Raw genomic sequence first — 19,040 nt, forward strand, 5'->3', positions numbered from 1 at the left:
GCTGTGACAAATACTTGTTGCGCACCTACTATGTGCCAGGGTGTATTCCAGATGCTGTGGATTTGTGATCTGGTTTGATAATAAATTTTATTTTAATGAATTGTATTTTTAAAATTGTATATATCTGAGGTGTACAGGATATTTTGATATACTTATCTTACTACACATAGACATAGTGAACTAATTACTACAGTTAAGCAAATTACCATCTTATCATCTCATAGAGTTACTTTAGATAAATATATTTTAGATTCAACATTGACTCATCCAGAAAAGCATGTTTTGAGCATCCAGTTATTTTCATGAATTGTGCTAGGTTCTAACTGCTGATGAAAACTCATCAATACAATTCCAAACACAGAGGAATCATGTTTTAATAAATTGTGGAGTCAAATAAACGTGGGTGAGTGCACCTTTTACTAGCTGTGTGACTGTGGGCAAAATTTTTAGTTTTCTCAACTGTAGACAGAGTAGAGGGAGTGGGGGAACTTCCTATGTGTCATTAAATGTTGTAAAAATTGATTGCAGTAACCCATCTCATTGAACACCCAGCTCAATGCCAGGAATACATACTATAGTTCCCTTCTAATTTCCAGCTCACTCCCATGGATATAGATTATGATTTTTGTAGAAAGCCATCCTAGTAACCTTGTAAACTGACTTCCTCATTTGAAGGTGAGAAAACTTGGGCTCTGGAAATGTTAGTGTCTTCCCCGAGGTTGTATAATTAGGTAATGGTGATGTCAGCCCTGAAAGCTGGGGATCCCCATTCTCAGTTCAACGCTTATCTACCACATCATGGTAACTTATGAGATTAGTTTGTCTTCTGTCTCTGTAATTTGCAGTCCCTCAAAGTGTTTAGCTATAATCTTTAAACCTGGAACGTTCACTGTAGGCGCTCAGAATATTTAAAAAAATGCCTTCCTGGGCTGGGCGCGGTAGCTCACGCCTGTAATCCCAGTAGTTTGGGAGGCCGAGGCGGGTGGATTACAAGGTCAAGAGATCGAGACCATCCTGGCCAACATGGTGAAACCCCATCTCTACTAATACTACAAAAATTAGCTGGGCGTGGTGGCAGGCGCCTGTAGTCCCAGCTACTCAGGAGGCTGAGGCAGGAGAATCACTTGAACCTGGGAGGCGGAGGTTGCAGTGAGCTGAGATGGCGCCATTGCACTTCAGCCTGGCGATGACAGAGTGAGATTCTGCCTCAAAAAAAAAAAAAAAAAAAAAAGCCTTCCCAACCTTAGGCCACTTTAGTCTCAGGAAATGCCTGCCTTTACCACTTCTCTATCCCAAGAATCATTCATTTATTCTTTGTTTTCTGTCTTCAGTCAGTTCTCCATCCCCGACAGATTATTTATCTAACTTTCGGAGTAACTCAGTTGTTCTAGTGAAGGGCTGGTGGTTAGAATGTTTATTCAAGGGGGCAGGGCCACTTCCCAATGGAAGACCTCCTCAGCCAAACCGGAGGGTTACCAGGAGCAGGGGAGGCTGTGCTTGCCTCCTGCAGGGCACCAGGCACCCTGGAGGCTGCGCTCTGCCTGAGCTGCCCTCCGCGGAGCCCCACGCAAGGCTGCTCTTGGCCAAGGGCTCTGGTTCCACAGTTCCCACACTCTGCCCATTCCCTGCCCACTAGCATACCAGGGCAAGCTCCTGGCAATGAGCACTGAAGAGCCTTCCTGCTTGAACGGGGGGTGGGGGGAAGAAAAGGGTAAAATAGAGGATGAAAAATGCACTTAATTTAGTATCTCAAGATATTGTACAGCCACTCATATGCATAACAGTTTTAGGTATGTAGTAAAACCCGAGGCCTAGGGATGGGTAACTACTGCAACACAAGAAGCCCTGTTGAATTTGTGTCTTCCTTTCAAAAAACTAGAAGAGAGTGAGTTTCTGTCACTGCTGCAGAGTTCAGGCCCCAGAGAAGAGTGTTTGGCGCAGAGGGATAAAATAGAGCACCATCGTACCCAGCTGTGGACAGAGTGGGGGGTCCTTAGCATAACTGTGGCCGACATTTGGGGAAGGCCCTGAAAGAATGAAAATCTCCTTACAGATGAACATCAAATGGATCCACGGCTCTGCGGAGGACCCAAGACAACTTGCTTGAATTGTTAAGACCTTGTAAGAATGTGAACGACTCCTCATGGCCGAGTTGCAGGCACAGCAGGCTGGGGCCGGGTGGAAACCGAGGGCCAGCAGGGCCGGAACAGCGCATCTCCGCGGACGGCTCCCCATAGGCCCGGCCAGCGCGGAGCCAGGAGGGTGGCGTCCAGGGGCAGTGGACGCGCACGACAGGAGGAAGCCTGGGCTCTCCTCTCTGACCTCACGCCTGCCCTCCCCGCAGATGGGAATGTCCTTGTCCCGCATGAGCGGCGGAGCCGGAGGGGACCCCGGCCTCTGACTCCTGCCCGCAGCCCCCTTTCAGCTGCCAGGGTTTCTCTGCCTTAGCTGCACATGAGAACCCCCTGGGGCCTTTGAAAAACTACGAATGCCCTGGCACCAACCCAACCCCGTTACATCAGCATCTCTGAGGGAGGGGCCTGAGTGCGAACGTACATTGTGTAAAGTTCCCAGGTGACCTAGCGCGCAGCCAGCACTGCAGACTCCGGGGCCGCCCCAGCCGCCGCCCCGCCGCGGCCCCCCACCCCACGGGCTGCCCTCTGGTTCGGTGCCTCTGCCTGATTCTGAAGGGCTGCATCCTCCCTTCTCCTCACCACCTATCGCGAGCGGTGACTGTCTCTGGAGGTGTCATTTGGGGGGCTGTAGTGGGTTGAGTGGTGGCTCTCCAGAAGACACGTCCATGTCCGGGAACCTAATTTGTAAAGAGGGTTTTTGAGGATTAAATCAAGTAAAGGTTTTTGAGAGGAGATCATCCTGGAGTTAGGCTGAGCCCTAGATCCAATGACAAGTGTCTTTATAAGAGGCACGGGGGGTCGGGGGGACAAAGTAGGAGAAGGCCATGTGGAGAGGCAGGCAGAGATTGGAGTCACAAACCAAGCAATGCCCAGAGCTACCCACAGCTGGGAGAGGCAGGGAAAGATTCTCCTCTAAAGCCTTGGTGGGGAGCATGGCCCTGCCCACACCTTGATCTTGGACTTCCAGCCTCCAGAGCTGTGAGAGGGCCCATTTCTGTTGTTTAGTCCACCAGGTCTGTGGTCTTCGGTGATCTGTGGTCATTGGTTGGCAGCCCTGGGAAGCTGGTAGAGGCACCCTCTCAAGCTGCTGTTTTCTGCTTGGTTGTATCTAGGGCTGAAAGCCATCCAGTTCAACACGCTTCCTTTGGACTCACTTAACGAACTCACCAAAGCTGGCCTTTTCTTATTATATTTAGAGCGTTTGGGGCTGTCCCCAAACAGCAAAGCCTCCCTCTTTTCCACTCCCTTCCAGCCTTCTCTTCTCTATCCAGACTGAATAGCATCCACCAGAAACCACCTCAGAAGGCTCACATCCTAGAGCTGAAAAATGACTTGGCAGGTTTTAATTTTTTCATATCATTTTTTAAAATGAGCAAAATTTATGCCTTGTACAATGACTTGTAGACAATTGAAACAATCTAGAAGAATAAGCTTTGCCTTCACCCCCTGCGCCCTTCTTCCATCACACCTCCTATGCCCATGGTAACCAGTGATAACCAAGAACACTCTGGTGAAGACCCTTCCAGTCCTTTCTCTAGGAAGACACTTTCCAAGTGACAAAGTACTCAAATATATAGGAAATGTAAGCTTTGACACAGGTAGAAACAGAACCAGGCTTGTTGAAGCAGCCATGGTGGGATGCTTGGAATCCACTGACTATTGCTCCTACAATCTCTCCGAGGAACCCACAGACTACAAGGCACAAAGACAAATTGAAAACCACTATCTTAGCCCTCCTGGGGATCCGGCCTTGGAAACCAAGGTCAATGCCATGGTTTGAATGTTCATGTCGTCTCCAAAATTCATGTTGAAACAGTCCCCAAAACAAAAGTATTAAGAGGTGAGGCCTTTAGGAGGTGGTCAGGCCATGAGGGCTGTCTTCAGGGATGGAATTAGTGCCTTGTAAGAGGGCTGGAGGGAGCTAGCTAGGTCTTTTGTGCTTCTGCCTCTTGTTGTATGAGGACCTAGCAACAAGGCACCATCTTGGAAGCAGGAGCTGCCCTCACCAGACACCTGCTCTGCCAGTGCCTTGATCTTGGACTTCCAGACTCCAGAACCGTGAGCAATACATTTCTGTCCTTTATAAATCATGGAGTCTGTGGCATTTTTGTTATATAGCCCAAATGGACTAAGGCAGCCAGGACGAGGGCAAGGCATGTGTGTGAAAAGGTATGGAGGTGCTCATTCGCAGAGCTTAGGAGCTCTTCAGGTTGGATGGTGAAGACCCAGACACGGGCAGAGGAGGGGTCATGGCTCTCTCTCTTTGAGGCTTCTGGGTATTTCAGAAGGAGGAAGAAGCTGTAGTGATTATTTCCAGCTACATACACCAGGAACTCTCCTCCAAAGCCTACATATCTCCCCATGTCTCCTACAGTGAAAGCCAAAGTCCTTGCTGGCCACACAGGATCTGCTCCTTCACACCACCCCAGAGACTCTTCCTCCCCAATCACATCCCCTGTCACTATTTCCTCCACCTGCCCTACTCCAGTCTCTGGCCTCCCTCCTGTCCCTCAGACACACCAAGCTCGGCACCTGTGCATTTGCTCTTCCCTTTACCTGGAGTGCTCTTCCCCAGGTATCCGGGCTTCTCCCTTACTTCCTGCAGACCTCTGCTCACATGCCCCTGATCTGAGCTTCCCCAGCCACCCTACGCAAGTGGCACCTGCCCCACCCACCACATGCTCTTCCCTGCTTCCTTCACTTCTCCAGTACTGGGTGTCACCTGACTTTCCAGCCATAGGGAGACAGACAGACTGTACCACAGCTTTTGTGAGAAATAATACAAAAATAAGTCAGCTGCTTTCTCCCACTGACTGCACTGCAGAGATGTCACTGAGTACCTGGTCTGCTCTTCCCCAGGCTTCCTTCTCCTCTCTGGCTTCCAGAAACTTGGGGGCCAAATTTGAGGGTGAACTCTAAGAACTCTGTAGGACTTTGATGTCTTTCTCTTTGGCTGTGATTTTTCAGACTTATTCACATTTCCCCACCCTCGTTTCTTGTGCCTGTTGTGTTATGTTATGCTGTGGAGTTTGCTTTTTTCATAACCGAAGGAAGAGGCGGGAGAGAAGTAAGGCACTTGTTGAGGTCCCAGATGAATACACACACTTGAAGAAGGTGACACTCCTTGATTGCCTGTACTTCTGGGGCGAGCTGCTGGGACTTTTGGCCCAGCAGGCACAGTTGGAAATTTAATACTGCCTGGGACAGATTTTAAAAAGATGGCTGGTACAAGTAGTTCAGTCAAGTACTGAGATCAAGTTTTTGCTCACGTAGTCTTATGTAAAAGATAGTATGGATAAGAACATGTATCCATAGGTTTACAGAATGTTTGAGCTAGAAGAAATTGTTGGTACATCCAAATACTTCCTTACAGAAATGAGGAAAACTGAAGACCAAGCAGATTGCCTAAGGACCAGAACTACTTATTGGCAGAGACAATGGGATGAAAATCTTTTTCTCTCTCCTCCTAGCTTTTTCCATGATACCACCCACAACGTTGCAGTTCTTCCCATTTTGAGTATTGAGATCCTTGGAAAGTGTGTTAAGAGGTTATGCCTGCATATGTGTAATTCTTTTTCCCCCACAGACTTTCCAAATTCAATACGCTGATGGAAGCAAAGTCCCCCTCATCGCTTTCCTCAGAGTTTACCCTGGATTTAATGCTAGGGATTAGGAGCGCGCCTGTGCCAGCCTGCTCCCTGCTCGGCCTGCCTGCGCTGGAGGGCTGCTGGTGGGAGGTGGATGTCAAAACACAGAAGGCGCTTGTTGGAAACAATAGGACTTGGGAAGTGTGGGGCCAGGGATTGGCGCGTGGGGAATACCAGGTGGCAAGGTGGGATCATCAGACTGGGGGTTTTCAGGGAAAGCTGCCTGCTGGGTCCAGGAAAATAAAAACACGGGATTCCAGATATTCTCGAAACATGTCTGGTTTTAGTCAATATTGTAGGAATCCTTAGCATAGGTTCTCAAAAATCTGTAATATCTTAGGAGGAGCACAGACTGGAACCAAAGGGAAGACTCTGCTGTATGCAAATCTCAGAAGTCTCCAAGGTGTGTTAAACACAACATAGCGCAACACAACACAACCACACAACACATCACACGTGCAACACAACACAACCACACATCACACAGCGCAACACGACACAACCACACAACACAGCGTCATACAGCGCAACATAACAAACCACACATCACACAGCGAAACACAACACAACCACACAACACAACATCACACCGTGCAACACAACACAACCACACAGCAAATCACACAGTGCAACACAACGACACAACATCACACAGTGAAACACAACACAACCACACAACGCAACATCACACCGTGCAACACAACACAACCACACAGCAAATCACACAGTGCAACACAACACAACCACACAACATCACACAGCGAAACACAACACAACTACACAACACATCACACAGCACAACATAACAAACTACACAACACCACACAGCACAGCACAACACAACACGACACCACACAGCATAACACAACCCAGGCTTCTCTGGTGAGTAGTTAGGGTTAGGGCCTACCTTTAGGAGGAGAGTCATTCTGATGAATGGGTATATTTGCCTAGTTATGGCTGAGTGGTTTTCAATGCAACTTCAGCCTGGAGTGCTGTGGAGCTGAGCTGTAGTTCCTGCAATAGTCCCAGTCAGCCAAGCCCAGAGTCCCGTGGGGGAAGGGCTCCTCGAAGTTTGGAGCTCAGGAGCTGTCATCCAGAGAGAAAGCTCAGCAAAGTTGACTGACAGAAACGCAAGGAAATGTTGGGTCTGTGCGTCCCATGCTCTTGCATTTTGCAGGTATATTACCCTGGAAAACCGGAGCCTGTTCAGTAGGAGCTCAGTTGTGCTGGACATGAGCGCTCATGAATTGAATGCCCACATCAGGACTGGGCTTAGTTTTCTATATTGCAAAATGATGGCCTTTGGCACATGACATATCACCAACAATGATCCCAATGATGGGCATGCAACTGCTCTTTCAAAAGCTAAGGAAAGTGATCAAATGGAGTTGAGAAAATGTGCAAGGATCAATTTTCCCATGAGACACACAGCTCTGACCTTAGAGACACCATAATGCAATTTCCAGCTTCACCCTCACTTTGTTTCAGAGTTGATTTAAACCCTTGCTGGGTTGCGAGATGTTCCTAACATCTTGCTGCTCTTTGTATCTCTGTCTTCTACCAACAAGAGCCTTGCCTGGATCAAACAGCTTGAGCTGATCAGGCCAAGGCAGTAAATTCAGAATCAGGGTAAACTTTTTGGCTGTCCCTTAAAACTCTTTCCAGCCATGAGGTTGTCAGTCATCATTTCTGCAAGGACCCACCTCCATCTGAAGCTCTCAAGTTCATTGTTAAAGGGTAGCTTCCTGGGCCCATTGTATCCTGAGCATGAGTCCAAGAACTGGTACTTTCAACATGTGATTCTTATGCATATTTAGTTTATTAAAAACAGCTATTTACCAGAAAACGAACATGCATGTAGCTATGACCCTTGTCAAGAAACAGAACTTTATCAATGGCAGAGATCCCTTCGTATCCAGCCTCCCCAAGGGTAACTATTATCTTGAGTTTACACAGTTGCTTCAATGCCTTTCTTGAGAGGGCATGCATTAAAATTTAGGGATTTATTTAAACATGTATCTCTCAACATCGTAGTAGGGTTTTGTCTGTTTTTTTGAGTTCTATATAAATTGAGTTATGCAGCATGTAGCTTGGCATTGGATTTTTTTTTTTTGCTTCCTTACCATTAGGTTTGTGAAATTCATTCATGTTTCTGCCTGTAGTTGTAGTTGAATTACATTGCATGACTAAGCCACAGTTTATTGATCTATTCCATTGGTGGACATTGGGTTCTTCTTTCCAGCATGCGACTGTTGTGAATAATGCTGCTCTGAACACTCTTGCCCAACACATTTCTCTTGGTCATACTTAAGAGTGAGATTGCTGGGTGAGCTTCTCTTCAACATTTGTAGAGAATGCAAACTGTTTTACAAACTGTAAAATTGTAAAATTTACAAACTGTAAAATTGTACTGTAAGTACAATTTTAAGAACCTTTGTCTATATCTTTGCAGACTGGTAGGTGGAAACAACCTACCAGCTGTATATGTAATTCATTGTCATCCCTCAGCCCCCCAATTTTGGAAGGTACTGGCCAGATTTGTTTTCAATTGGAGTTCCGTTGGCCAATTTAATCCCCTTTTTGTTGGTTATTGCTAAATCCTCCTGAATTAATATCCTAAGTGACTTTTTTTTTTGAGACAGGATCTTGCTCTGTCACCCAGACTGGAGTGCAGTGATCATAGCTCACTGCAGCCTCAAATTCCAAGGCTCAAGTGATCTTCCTGCCTCAGCCTCCTGAGTAGATGGGACTACAGGCGTGTGCCATCACGGCTGGCTAATTTTTAATTTTTTTTGTCAAGATGGGGTCTCCCTATGTTGTCCAGGCTGCTAAGTGGGCAACACTTTTTCTTGGTCTGTCCGGAAAATAAAATGTATATGCACAGGAACCCACTATATGCCAGGCCCAGTGCAAGGTGCTGGGAACACAATATTTAATGAGACAGGGAAGAGCTTGGCCTGTGTGAAGCTCTCAGTCTGGTGGGAGACAGGCATATAAACAAGACTAAGTATATAATTAAAAATGGCGAGACATTCTGTGTAGGAAACGAATAAGGTGCTGGAGAGGATAAGGGGCTGTGGGGAGAGATGGCACTGTTTAGACCCAAAGATGTGGGCAGGAGTGGGAGAATGCCTGGTTTGAAAAGTGACAGGTAAGCTCAGGCCTGAGTGCCTCCTGTGAGGAGTCGGGCGAAGGATGTTCCCGGCAGCAAGATGTTCTCATGTTCGGCCTCCGAGGGACAGAGGACCTGGGCACATGGATGAACTGGGAGGAGTGTGGGGGAGGAGGATGGCATGATGTGAGGCTGGCAAGGCGGGCGGGACCTGGCCTGGAGTCTGGTTGGCCGTGGGGAGGCCACGGAATGGTAGCTGTGGTTTGCTGCACAGGGCTGAAGGATAGTTCTGGTTACTGCAAGCAGAAAGAGTTGTATGAGGCCAAGTGAGGAAACGGGAGGCCGGTGAGAAGCCTCTGCAGCCATCCAGGCAGGAGACAATGTTCAGCAGGACTAGGATGCTGCCCATAGACTTGGAAAGATGCATTTGGGGAACATGTTGGAGCTGGAACAGACAAACCTGGCTATGGATCAGATATGAGGCGTGAAGGAGGGACAGGTATGAAAAGCACTCCTAGGCTTCTGGCTTGAGTAACTGGGTGAAGGGAGTTGTCATTGACAAAGATGGGAAACCTCTTCTATGGACATCAAACCCCTCTTATAGCACTTAAAGCCTACTCTACCTCATTCTCCGGTGGTGCCAATATCTCCCTACGGTCAACCTCAAAGTAAAAGTCACTTCCTGGTTTTGGTTAACAAACTTTCTTCACCCTCTTCCACTGTTATTACTTATTCACTGAGTGACCATCTGTATGCTTGCCGTGCCCAGAGCAACTGGGTCATCGTTTTAACGTGTAAATTAGTGAAAGAGTTCTTTTTACTCTATAAACCTATAGACCCAGGTAGAGGATCTAGATGTGGCTCTCAGAACAAATGCAATTGCTTTAAAATGATCTTTCTAGAAGAACAGTCATGAAACATTGAAATATTAAGTTAAAACCTAATAAGAATTCTGCATTCAGAAAGGTAAAAGAAGTGACAGGAAATAAACACCGACTTCAGCCATTTTTTTTCACTAATGAACTGGACTACACAATATTTTCCTCTCGAATTTCTTTTTCTTAAAAGAATTCCAACTATTCTTTTTTTTTTTTTTTTTTTTTTGAGACAGCGTCTCACTCTTTTGCCCAAACTGGAGTGCAGTGACGTGAACACAGCCCAGCTCACTGCAGCCTCGACTTCCTGGGCTCAGGTGATCCTCCCACCTCAGCCTCTCGAGTCCCTGGGGCTACAGGCATGCACCACCATGCCTGGCTAATTTTTTTATTATTGTTATTTTTTGTAGAGACAAGGCCTATGTTGCCCTGACTGGTCTTCAACTCCTGGCCTCCAGTGATTCTCCTAACTCAGCCTCCTAAATTGTTGGGGTTACAGGTGTGAACCGCTGTGCCTAGACAATTTAAACTGTTTTGATGCCATTTGGAGTGGACTTATTGTATAAAAACATAAGATGTGATCAATTTCTTCAAAATATACTCCTTGGAACACAAAGATATCAGAAGTATTTTCAGCATGGAGTTTGTGAGGACATTCCTACCCTTTCAGTTTGCTCAATGTAATGCATGAAAACATTAGGTTTAGGTCTCTTAGTTGACCCACTAGAGTCATTTTTCAGGGCCCTGGAGTCTCATCTGGGAGCACTGGAGAAGAAAGCTGTGAGCTGGTGGTGTGGCTGTCCTGATGCCACTCTGTCTCCTGGAAATCATAAAGAGGCAGGCTTTCTTAATTGCAGACGACAGAATCCACCGCTAGTTTAAGCAGAGTCAGTACAGAATTTTCAGGAGGACCAGAGAATGAAGCTTGGATACTACATCGTCAGGAATAAGCAACCAGAAGAAACAGCAACCACACAATGAGATATTTCTAACACTCAGATTGTATGCTGCTGGGACCAGAGAGAAGAGCGCTGGCCGTGGCTGCCACAGAACAAAGACGTCCTTCTCCAGGCTTGCCAGAAGATCCCATTTCCCCCTCTCATGGCACCTTCCATCCTGATGGCTGCATTTGTTGGGTATAATCTAGAACTCCTGCCTACTCCCACAACACAGACGGCAATCAGTTCCAACCTGAGTTCAACAAGTGCTGGCTGTAAGGGAGTCCGGGAGGCGTGGCTTTTACCTTTCTACTGTCTGCAGAGCAGGGAAATAGACTGTGTGAATGCTGGAGATGATGTTTGAAATAATTTGCATGAACCGCTGCAGACAGTGAACAAAACCACCGAAAGACATGATCTTCCCAAATCACTGTTCTCCTGCTCCCAGCACTAATTCTGTTCCGGAGAAACATTTACCTAGATTTTGCCTGCATTTACCAAGTGTTTCCTTTCGAGCACTTCCTCTTTCAGACCAGTTAAACTAAACATCACTGTGAACAGAGCACACAGCAAACACCCAGGTAAAGCGAGTACTTCCATGGCTTCCTCAGGAACGCGTCTGATGTCTAGCTTGACGTCTCCCCACTTATCATAACACTGCAGCAGAAATTGCATTTCGCTAAGGTAGGCGGGAAGACGGAAAGGATGTCTAATTAATCGTCTAATTAATCACTTCAAGTCTTTGCAGACCAGGAATATGCTTTAGTTTGTATTGGCTCACCTCATCACTCTAGGACTGGACCTGTGGCTGGCAGGGACGTCCTGCGTCTGATTGAGAAGGGTGTGGTCTTGCAGAAAGAATGATGAAGCCTGTCAAGGATCAAGCTCCTAAGACAGAAAGAGAAGCCTCCTTTGGTAGTCCCAGTCCCTGCATTTCAGGGACTTTCTCATCATTCTGCCTCTAATAAGACCTGGGCCCTGACACCTCCGCTTCCACCATAAACAGTGCTACTAAAGCTGCAGCCGGCACTGATGCAAAGCCCAGAGTCACTACTGGGTGTCATAGCTGGGATGCCCATATAAGAGGGGCTGGGACAGGGCCCCTTGAAAACCACAAGGCACCTTGCAGCCTTGCCCAGGGTGGGGGCCTGGGGGACTCTGGGGAGAGGAGTTGAACCTATATATATATAGCCTTTTGGACTCCTGGAAATGATCTATTGATAAAAGCTGCTTCTAATCAAAAACAAGAAAGAGGAGGAGAAGGAAGAAGAGAATCCTTGGAAAACTGCTAATACAGTTGTGGTTATCTAAGAGAGAGATTTTGTTTGTTCTCTTACTAACAGAAAGGGGTAATTTGGCAGGAAGAATTAGGGAAAGCAGACAAATTACATATTATTTATTGTTGGAGAAAATTAGACTCCAAGAGGGGAAGGCTCAAGAGCTGAGGAGAAGGTTGATTTCACAGTGCCTAATTCGCCACGTTTTATGATGTGTTTGATTTTTGAAGTCTGTATTTTAAAGAATGGCTTTCACATTGGGGCAAAGGTAAAGAAAGTCAACTCTCATAAAAACATTTACTAGAAACTCTGATTTTCCATGCCACTTTAAAAAAATCAATGAGCTTAATCTGCCATAAATGATTCTTCTTAAACCATTCCTAGCTCTTTGGGTCACGTCCTTTGCTCTGGTTTTTCCTTCCTAGAACCTGCACAGTATAGAGCCAGAGTTCACAAGGTGGTGGTATCTACCACCTGCTCATCTTTATACAACATGGACAGAATGTTCCCATGTACATGTATTTTGCACCACTCCTGTGATTCACAGTTCCTCAAAAATCCGTAGTGGAGATTTGGTGAAAAAAACCAAATAGCCACTTTCTTCCAGCCCCCGGGGGTACATTTTTTCACCAGGCATCTCACAGTCTTTCATTTGAATCTTCCAGGAGACTGGGATCCCAAGGAACACAAGCGCTCGCAGGCGGGCTATGGGGAGGCGTATTGTAAGGCCACCGCGTCAGTGGAGAGCAGGACCTGGGGCCTCCCTGGGGCTCCCTCGTGGACGCAGCCCAGTTCCTTGGAGCACCAGCACCTTCCCTGTAGTGTTCCACTCCCAGCCCAGTGTGGCTACTCTCTCAGCCTCTGCTTCTGTGTCTGTGTTTTCTTTTCTTTTTATTATTAGGGGGCTCCTCTGCCTTCTGCACCCATTGGCTCCTTCCTCGGGACATGGCTTCTCAGCTTGACTCTTCCTATATCCCATCAGCTTGGGTTCCCACAGTGCGATTCTCCCTTTCCCTCCCTCCCTCCCTTCCTCCCTCCCTCCCTTCTTCTCTCCCTTCCTTCCTTCTTTCCTTTTTTTTTTTTGACGGAGTCTTGCTGTGTCACCAGGTTGGAGTGCAGTGGCGCAATCTCCACTCACTGCAATGTCTGCTTTCCGGGTTCAAGCGATTCTCCTGCCTCCGCCTCCCGAGTAGCTGGGACTACAGGCGTGTGCCACCACACCCAGCTAATTTTTGTATTTTTAGTAGAGACAGGGTTTCACCCTGTTGGCCAGGATGGTCTCTATCTCTTGACCTCGTGATTCGCCCGCCTCAGCCTCTCAAAGTGCTGGCGTGAGGCTGTAATCGACTGTGCCCTGCCGATTCTCTCTTTTCTTGAGTGAGATTCCCAACTGGGAATTCCACTGGCCCAGCTCCTTTTGGCCACACTAGATCTGGTCCCCTGGGCATGGGGGGTTGGAGTCCTGTGATGACACATGGCTGCTGGGTCTTCGAAGACAGCGGGGAAAGTGGTGAGCTGGGCTCTGGGATTCCTCAGGCTATCGTTTCTTTTGAGGTGAATCCATAACAAACCATGGGCAGAAAGGAAAACTAGGACAGCAAGCAATGATTTGCCCAAGTCACTGAAAAGGAAACAAATGGTCAGGTATAAATCTTGATTGTCTTATTCTTTCTTCCAGGAGAGCTGGGGATGAGTTCTGTCTGGGAACCAGCATCTCTACTTCACTTGGTTTCATTCTAGGACAGGAATTCACCCTCCTGTGCTCACTCAGCCACTCTCGACCTTCAGGTCTATTTCCTCCCCGTTGATGGCCTTCCTGGGCCGGGCTGTTTGAGTCCACTGTTGAAAGGAGCTGGGGCCTGTCCCCTCCTCCACGTCACCAGCTTTCCCATTGCAGCATACAGCTAAGGACGCTGCATTAGAAGAGCCCTGAGGTCCAGGCTTGGGGAAACCTCGACCTGCCGGTGCCTGCAGAGGGGAAGCACGATGGGAGTTCTGCATCATTGAGGTTTTAGTTGTCTCTGGCTTGTCTGACGTTTGTGCAACAAGGCTGATTCGCTGTTGAGGGCATTTTCCAAGGGATTTCTGTGGGCATGGAATTTCCTCCATATCTCCCAGCCCAGGAGTGCCCTTTGGCTGCTGCTGGAAATGCCCCAGCGTCCGTGCACACTTTTTCCATTGATGGTGCAGCTATCCAGGCCCCACGTTCAGCCCAGCAGGGAGCTCTGCTATTGTAGGGTATGTGGTGTGACAGATAATTTATTAGGTGTGAACCGTCTTTTATTTGTTACTTCGTGGGCCTGTCTGCCCACACTCCTTTCTCCAAGTCCACCTGCAGCGCCTGCATGGCTGGGTGTGTGCCACGGTCCCTCTCACCACTACGCTTTTGCTCCTGAGTTCTATCTGGGACAGATTCTCATTCCTCTTGCCTTTTCCACACTTAGATGTTGCTTCTACTGAGAAGCTTGACCTGATTGCCCTCTCCCCAGGACAGGACTGGACGCCCTGAGCCCCACATTTATCCACTCCCAGGGCAGCCAGTGCTGGGCCTGGGCAGTGCATCCTTATCTCTTTTTGGTACTGGCTGCTAATGTCCCTGAATGAGGGTCCTGGAGAGGCTCCGGCTCCACTCCTTGGCAGAGCCCTCCGAGGTGGACACACTGACAGTGCTTAACAAATACTTGCCCAGTGCCGAGTGTGGGGCCTTGAAACCTGACTCTGGCTAGTGGAAACTTCTCCTGCATTCTGGATTTGGGGTGATGTTATGCATTCGGTTAGGAATCCCTAGTGGTGCTTCAATAATAATAGCCAATATTTCTAGAACAATTAGAAATTGTCCCACGAAGTGCTTAAGCACTTCCCATGTTTTTAGCTCACTTTTTTTTTTCTTTTGAGACAAGGTCTGGCTCTGTCACCCAGGCTGGAGTGCAGTGATGTGATCTCAGCTCACTGCACGCCAATTCCCTAGGCTCAAGTGATCCTCCCATCTCAGCCTCCTGAGCAGCTGAGACTACAGGTGGGTGCCACCACACCAGGCTTTTTTTTTTTTTGTAGATATGAGGTCTCACTATGCTGCCCTGGCTGGTCTCAAACTCCTAGACTCAAGAGATCTGCCTGCCTCCCAAAGTGCTGGGATTACGGAGATGACCCTCTGCACCTGGCTTCAGTCACTCTTTGATGACTGAGGTAGGTACTATTTTTAACTCCATTAAAGAGGTGAAGCGAATGGCCCAGACCATACAGCAGGCATGTGGCCGATGCAGGTTGGAAGCTGGACTCTGGTTCCAGACTCACACTGGTGACCTCTCTGCCTGCGGTGACACCTGTTGCCTGCAAGTCCCAGGAGGTCCTCTGCTGTGCAGTGGGTTAGGGGCCTGCAGCACACTGAAGATGCTTTATAAGCCTCTTTGGTGTTTTATAAGCCTCTTTGTATTCTACTAGCAATCTAGCAAGTGTCTTCAGCTTTAAAAGAGCCGCCAAACCCAGGGTGTCCTGCCAATTTAGGCATGCATTTAAACAAATTATACTTCTTCTTCTTCTTTTTTTTTTTTTGAGACAGGTTTTTGCTCTGTTGTCCAGGCTGAAGTGCAGTGGCACAATCTCGGCTCACTGCAACCTCTGCCTCCTGGGTTCAAGCGATTCTCCTGCCTCAGCCTCCTGAATAGCTGAGATTATAGGTGTGTGCCATCATGCCTGGCTAATTTTTGTATTTTTAGTAGAGACGGAGTTTCACTATGTTGGCCAGGCTGGCCTCGAACTCCTGACTTCAAGTGATCCGCCCGCCTTGGCCTCCCAAAGTGCTGAGATTACAGGCGTGAGCCACCGCGCCCGGCCGTTTAAACAAATTATACTTCTCATTTATGGGTATGAATCCAACTTCTTCCCCCAACTTTCTGGGTTTTTTGTTTTTTAAGTATATGTGCTGCCAAAGCAAGCACGTCCCTTTCTGTTTTTCTGTTGCTTTTTAAAGTTATGCAATTGATACCCAAATGTATTTTCCATTCTCAGAGATTTAAGTAGATTGGAAACATATAGAGTGAAATGGGAAAAGCCTCTTTGCTGCTTGCTTCTCTCTGCAGGACAATCCAACTTTCTTCCTGGGAGATAACGATCCTCAGGTTTGGATCCTGCAAGTCTTTTTTCTCTGCATTCACACACGTGTTTATAGCCGTGGAATAAAGTTCTCTTTTCATGTAAATGGCATACTCTGTGCACGGTTCTTCACTTAGTCTTTCTCCCCGGTGGACCCTACGTCTTAGTGACCATTTCCAGGGCCACATCACAGATCAGCCTCATTCTATTTAAGAGCTTTCTAGTATACACCGCCCTTAGTGATGGAAATTTGGGTTGTTCTCAGAAAAATTGTAAATCACAGTTTACTTAAAAAAATTATTACTTGCTTTAAAAAATGCCCCAAACAATAAGAGCGCTCATTTAGTGCTGAGGTTTACGCTCCTTTTCACACTCACACAATCAGCGCCAATCACACTTTCCAGAATATGGAATGCCTCCACTTTGTTTTGGTAAAATTAGTGCCTCACAACGTCTTCCCACCTCCTGGTCCCCCTTCTCACAGAGGGGGACCGGCCATTGTGCTCTTGGAAGTAGCACAGGATGTTGTTACACTTGGCTACGCAGTTGCATAATGGCCTCCGAAATTAGGCCCGGTGCTAGTTGAAGCCCTTGTTTGCCCTTCAGATACTGACCACAGATCAGCACAGTGGGCTCACTGCCTGGGAAGTCAGCACTCGCAGGTGTGTTTGTGTATTTGTGTGGTGTGTATGTGTAGCATCTATGGTGTGTACAGGGTGTGGGTGCGTAGTGTGTATGTGTGGTGTATGTAGTGTGTGTATGGTATGGGTGTGTGACGTGTGTGTGTAGTGTGTATGTGTGGTGTGTGAGCGGTGTTGGGTGGTGTGTGTGTGATGTGTGTTGTGTGTATGTGTAGTGCATGCAGTGTGTATGCATGGTATGTGGTATGTGTGGTATATGTGGTGCGTGTAGGGTACAGGGTGGTGGGTGGTTTGTGTGGTGTGTGTGTGCTGTGTATGTGTGGTGTATGTGTATGTGTGGCACATGTGGTGTGCATATGGTATGGGATAGTGTGTGGCATATATGAGGTGTGTGGGAGGTGTTGGGTGGTGTGTGTTTAATGTGTATGGTATGTGTGGTCTATGTGGTGTGTGTGTATTGTAGATGTAGTGTGTGTGTGGTGTGTGATGTGTATGTATGCGGTGTGTGTAGTGTGTGTGTGATGTGTGGTCTATGGGGCGTGTGGGGGGCATGTGGTGGTTGTGGCATCTGTTGTGCAGTGTGTCTGTTGTGTGGTGTATGTGTAGTGTGTGGAGGGTGTGTGGTGTGTGTGATATGTGTATTATGTGTGGTCTATGAGGAGTGTGGGGGGCATGTGGTAGTGTCTGTTGTGTGGTGTGTGTCTGTTGTGTGGTGTGTGTCTGTTGTGTGGTGCAGGTGTAGTGTGTGCAGTGCGTGTGGTGTGTGTGTGATGTGTGTAGGATGCATGGTCTATGGGGCATGTGGGGGTCATGTGGTGGTGTGTGTTGTGTGTTGTGTGTCTGTTGTGTGGTGTGTGTGTAATGTGTGCAAGATGTGTGATGTGTGTAGTATGAGTCTATGAGGTGTGGGGGGCATGTACTGGTGTGTGGCGTCTGTTGTGTTGGGTGTCTGTGGTGTTGTGTGGGGTGTGTATGGACATCATTGCTCCTGGCGCTGGCCCTCTCTTGGGAACAGGGAGGTCACCCTGGGAGTGAAGGGGTGAGAGACCTTCCTTCCCGGACTCACTGCATCTCCCCACTCCTAGAACAATTATTCCGAGTGGATAATGCACAGCGAGCTGAGTGAACAGCCTTTCTCTCTCTATGTGGAGTGCTGTGCAAGTGAGAGGTGAGGCCAGCTGGACTTCCTGGGTCGAGTGGGGACTTAGGGAACTTTCCTGTCTTACAAGAGGATTGTAAAACGCACCAATCAGTGCTCTGTAAAACACACCAATCAGTGCTCTGTAAAACGCACCAATCAGCGCTCTGTAAAACGCACCAGTCAGCACTCTGTAAAATGCACCAATCAGCAGGATTCTAAAAGTAGCCAATCGCAGGGAGGATTGAAGAAAGGGCACTCTGATAGGACAGATACAGAACATCGGCCGGGACAATAAGGGAATAAAAGCTGGCCAGCCCCAGCCACTGACGGCAAGCCACTCCAATGTCCTTCCAGGCTGTGGGAGCTTTCTCCTTTCGCTCTTCACAACAAACCGTGCTACTGCTCACTCTTTGGGTCTGTGCAAGAGCTGTAACATGGCTGAGCGCCTTGGCTCAAGCCTGTAATCCCAGCACTTTGGGAGCCAGAGGCGTGTGGATCACGAGGTCAGGAGAGTGAGACCATCCTGGCCAACATGGTGAAACCCTGTCTCCACTAAAAGTACAGAAATTAGCTGGGCGCAGTGGTGCGCGCCTGTAATCCCAGCTACTCGGGAGGCTGAGGCAGGAGAATCGCTGGAACCCCAAGGGTGGAGGTTGCAGTGAGCCAAGATCGCGCCACTGCGCTCCAGCCTGGCGACTGAGCGAAACTCCGTCTAAAAAATGAATGAATGAATGAATGAATGAGTGAATGAATAAAAGCTGTAACAATCACTGCGAAGGTCCTGGCTTCATTCTTGTAGTCAGGAGACCATGAACCCACTGGCAGGAACCAACTCTGGGCACACAAGGACACTGAACATCCAGCGAATCTGCAAAATACTCTCCTTGTGGGGGAGAGTGTCTCTAGGTATTGCTGTTTTCCCTTTCTTTAAAAACATTTTAAAATCACATAATAATTTACCTGATTGTGTCAGGAAGAGTGAGAAACTCCTACTATAGAAGGTGAAAATCCCTGATGTTGCTTTCGGAGAGAGCATGTCACGTTCTTGGATCTGACTTTCATTTCTCTCAGATAATAATGTTTTGAAAATAGCTCATCAATATAGGTTGCCAATTGATTTTACTTGACACCCTCCCCCCCCCCCCCCCAGCTAAAATGGACCTGTAGAGGTGAATTCATGTT

At 47.7% G+C, this 19,040-nt stretch overlaps 4 annotated features.

Annotated features, from left to right (window-relative positions):
• Window positions 1,000–1,964: an enhancer, noted in NCBI's record as "OCT4-NANOG-H3K4me1 hESC enhancer chr9:98314166-98315130 (GRCh37/hg19 assembly coordinates)". NCBI's record gives its function as "activates a minimal SCP1, AML or CMV promoter by ChIP-STARR-seq in primed H9 embryonic stem cells {active_cell/tissue: H9 hESC(primed)}" and the evidence as "EXISTENCE:reporter gene assay evidence [ECO:0000049][PMID:30033119]".
• Window positions 1,965–2,929: an enhancer, noted in NCBI's record as "OCT4-NANOG-H3K4me1 hESC enhancer chr9:98315131-98316095 (GRCh37/hg19 assembly coordinates)". NCBI's record gives its function as "activates a minimal SCP1, AML or CMV promoter by ChIP-STARR-seq in naive and primed H9 embryonic stem cells {active_cell/tissue: H9 hESC(naive and primed)}" and the evidence as "EXISTENCE:reporter gene assay evidence [ECO:0000049][PMID:30033119]".
• Window positions 13,533–14,034: an enhancer, noted in NCBI's record as "H3K4me1 hESC enhancer chr9:98326699-98327200 (GRCh37/hg19 assembly coordinates)". NCBI's record gives its function as "activates a minimal SCP1, AML or CMV promoter by ChIP-STARR-seq in primed H9 embryonic stem cells {active_cell/tissue: H9 hESC(primed)}" and the evidence as "EXISTENCE:reporter gene assay evidence [ECO:0000049][PMID:30033119]".
• Window positions 14,035–14,534: an enhancer, noted in NCBI's record as "H3K4me1 hESC enhancer chr9:98327201-98327700 (GRCh37/hg19 assembly coordinates)". NCBI's record gives its function as "activates a minimal SCP1, AML or CMV promoter by ChIP-STARR-seq in primed H9 embryonic stem cells {active_cell/tissue: H9 hESC(primed)}" and the evidence as "EXISTENCE:reporter gene assay evidence [ECO:0000049][PMID:30033119]".

This window comes from Homo sapiens, chromosome 9 (assembly GCF_000001405.40).
Source record: "Homo sapiens chromosome 9, GRCh38.p14 Primary Assembly".
Lineage (NCBI taxonomy): Eukaryota > Metazoa > Chordata > Mammalia > Primates > Hominidae > Homo > Homo sapiens.